This window comes from Homo sapiens, chromosome 19 (assembly GCF_000001405.40).
Source record: "Homo sapiens chromosome 19, GRCh38.p14 Primary Assembly".
Classification (NCBI taxonomy): Eukaryota; Metazoa; Chordata; class Mammalia; order Primates; family Hominidae; genus Homo; species Homo sapiens.
The window spans coordinates 1,717,365-1,725,449 of NC_000019.10; the positions used below are offsets into that span (position 1 = coordinate 1,717,365).

Here is an 8,085-nt window from a genome sequence, read left to right on the forward strand (position 1 = left end):
CAGGAGGATGAATGGGTGGATGGGAGGATGGATGTATGGGTGGATGGATGGATAGGTGGGTGGATGGATGGATGTATAAATGGATAGGATAGATGAATGGATAGATGGATAAGTGGGTGGATGGATGAGAGGATGGATGGGTGTAGAGGATGAATGGGTGGATGGGAGGATGGATGGATGAGAAAATCAGTGGGTGGATAGATGAATGAATGGATGAGAGGATGGAGGACAAATGGGTGGGAGGTTGAATAGATGAATGGATGAATAGGTGGGAGGATGGATGGAGGGTTGGGTGAGTGAGTGGATGGATGGACAGAGGGGTGGGAGGATGGATGGATGGATGGATGGATGGATGGATGGATGGAACATGGATGGATGGATGGATGGATGGATAGATGGAAAGATGGATGGATGGGTGGATGGATGGATGTGTAGATGGGTAGATGGATGGGAGAATGAATGGGTGTGAGAGGTTGGATGGATGGATGGGAGGGTGGATGGAGGGATGGGTGGATGGATGGATTCATGGGTAGATGGAGGACGGATAAGTGTGGGAAAATGGTTGGATGATAAATGGGTGAGTGTCTTGATGGAGGGGCAGGTGGGTGGGTTGGTGGGTGGATGGATGGGTAGATGGGTAGATGGATGAGAGAATGAACGAGTGTGAGAGGATGGATGGATGGGAGAATGGATGGACAGGTGGATGGATGGATGGATGGATTCATGGGTAGATGGAGGATGGATGAGTGTGGGAGAATGGATGGATGATAAATGGGTGAGTGTCTTGATGGAGGGGCAGGTGGGTGGGTTGGTGGGTGGATGGTGGGTGAGTGGGTGGGTTGGTGGGTGGATGGTGGGTGGGTGGGTGGATGGTGGGTGAGCGGGTGTGTGGTGGATGGTGGGTGGGTGGGTGGATGGTGGGTGGGTGGATGGTGGGTGAGTGGGTGGGTGGTGGGTGGGTGGGTAGGTATAGGTGGGTGAACACAGGGCCTCAGCGGGATTATTTTGCGTTGGTTCCCGGTGCAGCACTTAAGCTTTCCGGAGCTCCCTTTCCAAGTATTTGTTGTACCTGTAGGAGGACACCTAGTCCGGCTCAGTTCTCTGTAAAGGACAGTGGGGTGCAGTGGGGAGGGGGAGGGGAGGCCTATAAGAGGGTCTCATCAGTTCTCCAGCCGGGGACTGGAGCTGGGATCAAGTGGTGGGCGGAGGAGGGGTGCAGGGGGGAAGAGCAGAATTCCAGGGCCAGAAGGGACTCCAGGTTGAGTGGGAAGCCCAGCCACCCAGCCTGGCCCCCTCTCCACCTCCCTGACGGACCCTCTAACAACCGAGCTGGCCGCTCCCCTCCCTGCCCACCACCACCCTCCAGGGCTCCCGACGCCCCTGCCCATCCCCCCGCCCCTCCCCCACTCCAAGCGCTCCCAGCCTCCCCCTCCCCCGGCCGTGTCTGTACCCCGCCCCCCTGCTCTCCGCGGGGGCCCGGGAGGAGAGGAGGCGGCTCCGTGCTGCGGGGTGCCGGGGCGCAGAGCCCGCGGCGGGAGCTGTCAGCGCCGATCGTGGGGAGGGGGCTCCTCTGCCCCAGGTCGATGGGAGCGGGGGCCCAGGCTGCGGTTTACACTGAATCCACAAAAATCACCGAAGCTTGAAAAGTGCTCAATAAGCCATCGATCGCTCTCTGCTGATCGGTGCCGCCGCCGCAGCGGGGCTGGGGGGAAAGGCGGGGCGAGCAGACCCAGGCTCCCTGCCTGTGCCCCACGCGGGACCGCGGCCCTGCATCTGCCCCCCACCCACGCGAGGCTGCAGCCCCAGGGCCTGGGCAAGAGGTTCCCATCCCGCCTGCAGGCCCGGGCTGCAGGCCTGACCACGCTGAGGGGTGGGGAGGGAGGGGGTTAGAAAGAACGCCCCCTCCTCTGTCCTCCCAAAGCTCTCTGTGGCCCTGGGACTGCAAAATTCTTCCCCAGGCCGGGCGCGGTGGCTCACGCCTGTCATCCCTGCACTTTGGGAGGCCGACGAGGGTGGATCGCCTGAAGTCAGGAGTTCCACACCAGCCTGGCCAACATGGTGAAACCCCGGCTCTACTAAAAATACAAAAATTAGCCTGGCGTGGTGGTGTGCACCTGTAATCCCAACTACTCGGGAGGCGGAGGCAGGAGAATCCCTTGAACCTGGGAGGCAGAGGTTGCAGTGAGCCAAGATGGAGATACTGCACTCCAGCCTGGGCAACAGAGCGAAACTCCGCCTAAAAAAAAAAAATCCTTCCCCAGATACTTCCAGAGATATGGAATTAAGACAAATCCTGGCTCATTCACTGTGACTGCTGTGTGACCTTGAGTGTGTTTCTTAACCTCTCTGTGCCTCCATTGCCATATCTGTAAGATGGATATGGCAGCACGCACCCTGCCTGCAATTCATGGCTTCCTTAGGGTCTCACTTGTGAATCTCCTCTGGCCTTTTGGCAACTTCTTTCCTTCTCAGCTGGGGAAGCCGTTTTCCTGCCTGAAAAACCTCTTCCCCAGTGCAAGGCTTGGAGGCTGGACACAGTTCGGGGCATTCAGGGAACTGCCAGCACCAGTGGCCATGTATTCGGGAGGAGGTGAGTGGGAAGAGGTGAGGCCATGGGGTGGGCAGCCACTTGCCAGGGGCAGTGTTTGTTCTTAATTCTGGAGGTAGCAGGGAGCCATGGAGGATCTAGAGCAGAGGTGTGACCTGAATCAAATCGCTCCTTCCCCAGAGCTGAGCCTCTGTCCTGGGTTGGCCTCTGTGCTGATCTCACCTCCTCTTCCTCTCCCCCCATGGCCCACTGGTCACCACTCCTGGCCCTTCTCCCTCTGAAGTCTCTCCCATTGACCCCACACTGGCTCTCTAGGGACCTCCCAAGGCCAGATCTGAACTCGGCCCTCCCTCACTCTAAGCCCTCCCAAAGCTCCCTGTGGCCAACCCAAGCCCTTGGCCCAGTGCTCTACCCCCACTCTATGAACGAGCTGTTCCACTGCAAGTCCAGCCACGCGCCGCCCAGCCCGCCAGGCCCACCTCCCACCGCAGCACCCCCTGGCTGTTGTCACACTCGCCCGCATCCCACCCAGCCTTTGCCCAGCAGTTCCTCTGGACTGGAGGTCGTTCCCCACCCTGCATGCTGGCGAAAGCACTCCTCATCCTTCAAGCCTCTTTTCCAGGAGCCCTCCCAGGCAGCATCTCCCAGAGACAGCCCCAGCCCGAGGCCTCCTCCGAGCCCTGTCTGCGTCTTCTCTTGCAGCCCAGGCTGGGGGTGCCTTCTGGCTGGGGGCACCTTCTGCCTGTTTTGTAGAAGGCGGAAGAACGAGGTATTGGTAGCAGGGGCTGGGGTTGGAGGAGCCCAAGAGACACAAAGCCAGAACCTTCCTCCAACTGCCTGGAAATCTGAGGCCCCACTGGTAGATCTTGCCTCCCACAGCTCCCTCTGGCCTTTCAGCACAGCCCCCAACTGACACCCAGAAGGACCCCCCCACACCAGGTCCCAAGGGGAGAGAGAGAAGAGAAAAAAACAGAGAGAAAAGGCAAGTGGGATCAGGGCCTCCCTCCACTACCCGTTTCACAAGACCCCCCCTTCTTTCTGGAGGCCCCCACTCTGAGAGTCTCAGCTCCCCCACCCGAGCCCCCCATCTGATCTGTGCAGGCTCAGGGGCCGCCCCCACTCCCTCCCTCACCCTCTCCCCAAAGGTCAGGGAGCAAATTTCATCCCCACGTGTCTCTCACACCTCGATGATTAATAATTGAAGAAAACGTATTTCTTTGGGGGCCCAGGATACATCAGAAATAACTACAGAATTCATATGCTGCCAGAGGCACGACACCCATGGGAAGACAGAGCCAGGAGAGGGGCACGGGCTTCTGAGGGCCCAGAAGCTGACGGCGCTGCAGAATGATTTCAAAACCACCCTAATAGAATCACCCATGGAGGACGTTCTCAGCACTGGGAAGGCACCGTGCTGAGGCTTTGGAAGCCAATGACCTCACCAGCTCCATTTTACAGATAGGGAAACCGAGGCACAGACCAGGGAAGTGACTTGCTCGTGGTCACACAGTGGGATTCAAGCAAAGACCGTCCCCCACACCCCTTTAACCTGTCCTCCCGTCACCAGTGCCACACTTCCTGCACCCAGGATGGCACAAGGGCATAGAGGCCGGGGGCATGGGGAAGCTCTCGGTCCTGCACCCTGACAGCCTGTGGCCTGCTCATCACAGACGCGTCATCCCCACTCACCCAGCATGTCTTGAAATTTTTTTTTTTTGAGACGGAGTCTCGCTCTGTTGCCCAGGCTGGAGTATAGTGGCGCGATCTCAGCTCACTGCAACCTCCACCTCCTGGGTTCAAGCAATTCTCCTGCCTCAGCCTCCTGAATAGCTGGGACTACAGGCATCCGCCACCAAGCCCGGCTAATTTTTGTATTTTTAGTAGAGACGGGGTTTCACCACGTTGGCCAGGCTGGTCTCAGACTCCTGACCTCAGGTGATCCACCCGCCTTGGCCTCCCCAAGTGCTGGGATTACAGGCGTGAGCCACCATGCCCAGTCATGTCCTGAAAATCTTGAGGCATCTAAGTTCCGATGCCTTGCCCAGGCTCGTTTAATCCTCACAACCACCCCTGCTCACACAGGAGAAGACCAAAGCTCAGAGAGGTGAAGCCACCTGCCTGGGGTCCCATGACACAGGGAGGCAAATTCAGGTGTGTCCTTCTTATGAGTCTGTCTTATGAGTCCTGGCATTGCCCCTCTCATTGGCATCTTTTTTTTTTTGAGACAGAGTCTTGCTCTGTTGCCTAGTCTGGAGAGCTCTGCAGCCTCTGCCTCTCGGGTTCAAGTGATTCTCCTGCCTCAGGCTCCTGAGTAGCTGGGATTACAGGTATCCACCACCATGCCGGGCTAATTTTTTTTTTTTTTTTGTATTTTTAGTAGAGATGGGGTTTTGCCATGTTGGCCAAGCTGGTCTCGAACTCCTGATCTCAAGTGATCCGCCCGCCTTAGCCTCCCAAAGGGCTGGGATTACAGGTGTGAACCACCATGCCTGGCCCCATTGGCATCTTGAGGCTCAGCCCCATGTGAGGTGGGACGGGTGATGCTTGACCCCATATGGGGCCTGCCCCAGGATCTACTTGATGGAAATTGAAGATGTCAGAAGACACTGAGGTGCATCCAGGTTCAGAGATGTAGCTGCTGCACTAGCCAATGGGTGGAGGTGCCCAAGCGTCCATCACCAGAAGGATGGATCCACACAACTCAGCCACAAAAAGGAATGAGGCTCTGACCCAGGCCACAGCATGGATGAAGCTTGAGGACATCACACTCAGTGAGAGATGCCAGACACAGAAGGACAAATCCTGTGTCACTCCACGCATGAAAGTGCCCTAGAGTCATCAGATCCAGAGATAGAAAGTAACATGGGGGCTGGGCATGGTGGCTCATGTCTGTAATCCCAGTGCTTTGGGAGGCTAAGTTGGGAGGATGGCTTGAACCCAGGGGTTTGAGATCGGCCTAGGCAACGTGGCGAGAGCCTGTCTCTACGGAACATACAAAAATTAGCCGAACGTGGTGGCACCTGTAATCCTAGCACTTTGGAAGGCTGAGGCAGGAGCATGGCTTGAACCCGGGAGGCAGAGGTTGCAGTGAGCCAAGATCGTGCCACTGCACTCCAGCCTGGGCAACAAAGTGAGACTCTGTCTCAGAAAAAAAAAAAAAAAAAAGCTTGAGATGGGAAACTTTATTTATATATGTTTTAACACCGTTTAAAAAATTTTGGGCCAGGCGTGGTGGCTCTCGTCTGTAATCCCCGCACTCTGGGGGGCCGAGATGGGTGGATCACCTGAGGTCAGGAGTTTGAGACCAGCCTGACCAACATGGTGAAATCCCATCTCTACTAAAAGTACAAAAATTAGCCTGGCGTGGTGGCGTGCGCCTGTAATCTAAGCTACTCAGGAGGCTGAGGCAGGAGAATTGCTTGAACCTGGGAAACGGAGGTTGCAGTGAGCTGAGATTGTGCCACTGCACTCCAGCCTATGTGACACAGCAAGACTTTGTCTCAAGAAATAAAATAAAATAAAATAAAACAAAATTTTTCAGAAAGGGATGAAGTTCTGACCCAGACCACAGCATAGATGCACCTTGAGGACGTCACGCTCAGTGAGAGACGCCAGACACAAAAGGACACACAGTGTGTGATCCTGTTTCTATGAAATGCCCAGGAAAGGCCCATCCACAGAGACAGGAGGGGATGGAGGGGTCAGAAATTCTAGATGCTTTTTCATTCAGGTGTACGTGCTGGGGGGGCCTTTATTATTCACGTGCCCATCCTCCGCTTATTTCAATGTGTTACCCTTGCCCGATGCTGCTCTTCTGCTGTGTTCCGGAACAAAACGTACTGGGCATAGCTTTGCTACCCAAGCGAAGGGGACTGAGAAACAGCGGTGGCCTCCTCCTTGGGTGGAATGCTGGGTGGTCATCAAAGGTGATGGGGGAGGAGACATTTAAATGACACGGGAAGATGCCCGTGAGATAACAGGAAAGACACAGACCACATGAGAGTCAGAGGTCAGGTGAGCCCATTTTGGTAAAACCCCTGTCTGTTGTTTTTTTAAGAGACCGGGTTGGCCGGGCGCAGTGGCTTACGCCTGGAATCCCAGCACTTCGGGAGGCCGAGGCGAGTGGATCACCTGAGGCCAGGAGTTCGAGACCAGCCTGATCAACACGGTGAAACCCCGTCTCTACAAAAAATACAAAAGTAGCCAGGCGTGGTGGCGCATGCCTGTAATCCCAGCTACTCGGGAGGCTGAGGCAGGAGGATTGCTTGAACCCAGGAGACGGAGGTTGCAGTGAGCCAAGATGGTGCCATTGTACTGCAGCCTGGGCAACAAGAGCAAAGCCCTGTCTCAAAAAAAAAAAAAAAAAAAAAAGAGAGAGAGAGAGAGAGAGGGTCTTGCTCTGTCACCCAGGCTGGAGTGCAGTGATGCAATCATAGTTCACTGAAGCCTCCAACTCCTGGGCTCAAGAGATCCTCCTGCCTCAGCCTTCCAAAGTAATGGGACCATGGCCAGGCAGGTAGCTCATGCCTGTAATCCCAACACTTTGAGAGGCCGAGGTGGGCGGATCACCTGAGGTCAGGAGTTCAAGACCAGCCTGACCAACATGGTGAAACCCCATCTCTACTAAAAATACAAAATTAACCAGGTGTGGTGGTGCATGCCTACAATCCCAGCTACTTGGGAGGCTGAGGCAGGAGAATTGCTTGAATCCAGTAGGTGGAGGTTGCAGTGAGCCAAGATGGTGCCATTGTACTCCAGCCTGGGCAACAAGAGCGAAACTCCATCTCAAAAAAAAAAAAAAAAGAAAAGAAAGAAAGAAAAGAAAAAGTAATGGGACCACAGGAACTCACCACTCTGGCTATTTTTCTAATTTTTATTTTTGTAGAGATGAGATCTCGCCATGTTGCTCAGGTTGGTCGCAAACTCCTGGCCTCAAGTGATCCTCCGACCTCAGCCTCCCAAAGTGCTGTTTTTATAGGCAAGAGCGATGGCGCCCGGCCTCCTAGAGCTTTAGGAGGGAGTATGGCCCTGCCCACACCTTGATTTCAAATTTCAGGCCTCTAGACTGTAGAAAAATACATCTGTGGGGTTTTTTGTTTTGTTTTTAGAGACAGGGTCTCATTCTGTCACCCAGGCTGGAGTGCAGTGGTGCGATATCAGCTCACTGCAGCCTTGACCTCCTGGGCTCAAGTGACCCTCCTACCTCAGCCTCCCAAATAATTGGGACAAAAGGCACCACCACACCTGGCTAATTTTTGTATTTTTTTGTAGAGATCGGAGTCTCGCTATGTTGCCCAGGCTGGTCTCCAACTCCTGGCCTCAAATAATCCTCCTGCTTCAGCCTCCCAAATCATTGGGACCAAAGGCACCACCACGCCTGGCAAATTTTTGTAGATATGGGTGGGGTGGGTCTCGCTATGTTGTCCGGACTGGTCTCTTAACTCCAGGCCTCAAGCGATCCTCCCGCCTCGGACTCCCACAGCGCTGGGATCACAGCCTCCCCCCGCCCCGAGGTAGCGGGTGGTGGGAACGGGATT

General features: G+C 55.3%; 1 annotated feature.

The window, feature by feature from the left end:
- Positions 5,625 to 5,814: a silencer, noted in NCBI's record as "fragment chr19:1722988-1723177 (GRCh37/hg19 assembly coordinates)". NCBI's record gives its function as "represses an EF-1alpha promoter that drives an FKBP-Casp9 reporter gene in an ReSE screen in K562 erythroleukemia cells {active_cell/tissue: K562}" and the evidence as "EXISTENCE:reporter gene assay evidence [ECO:0000049][PMID:32094911]".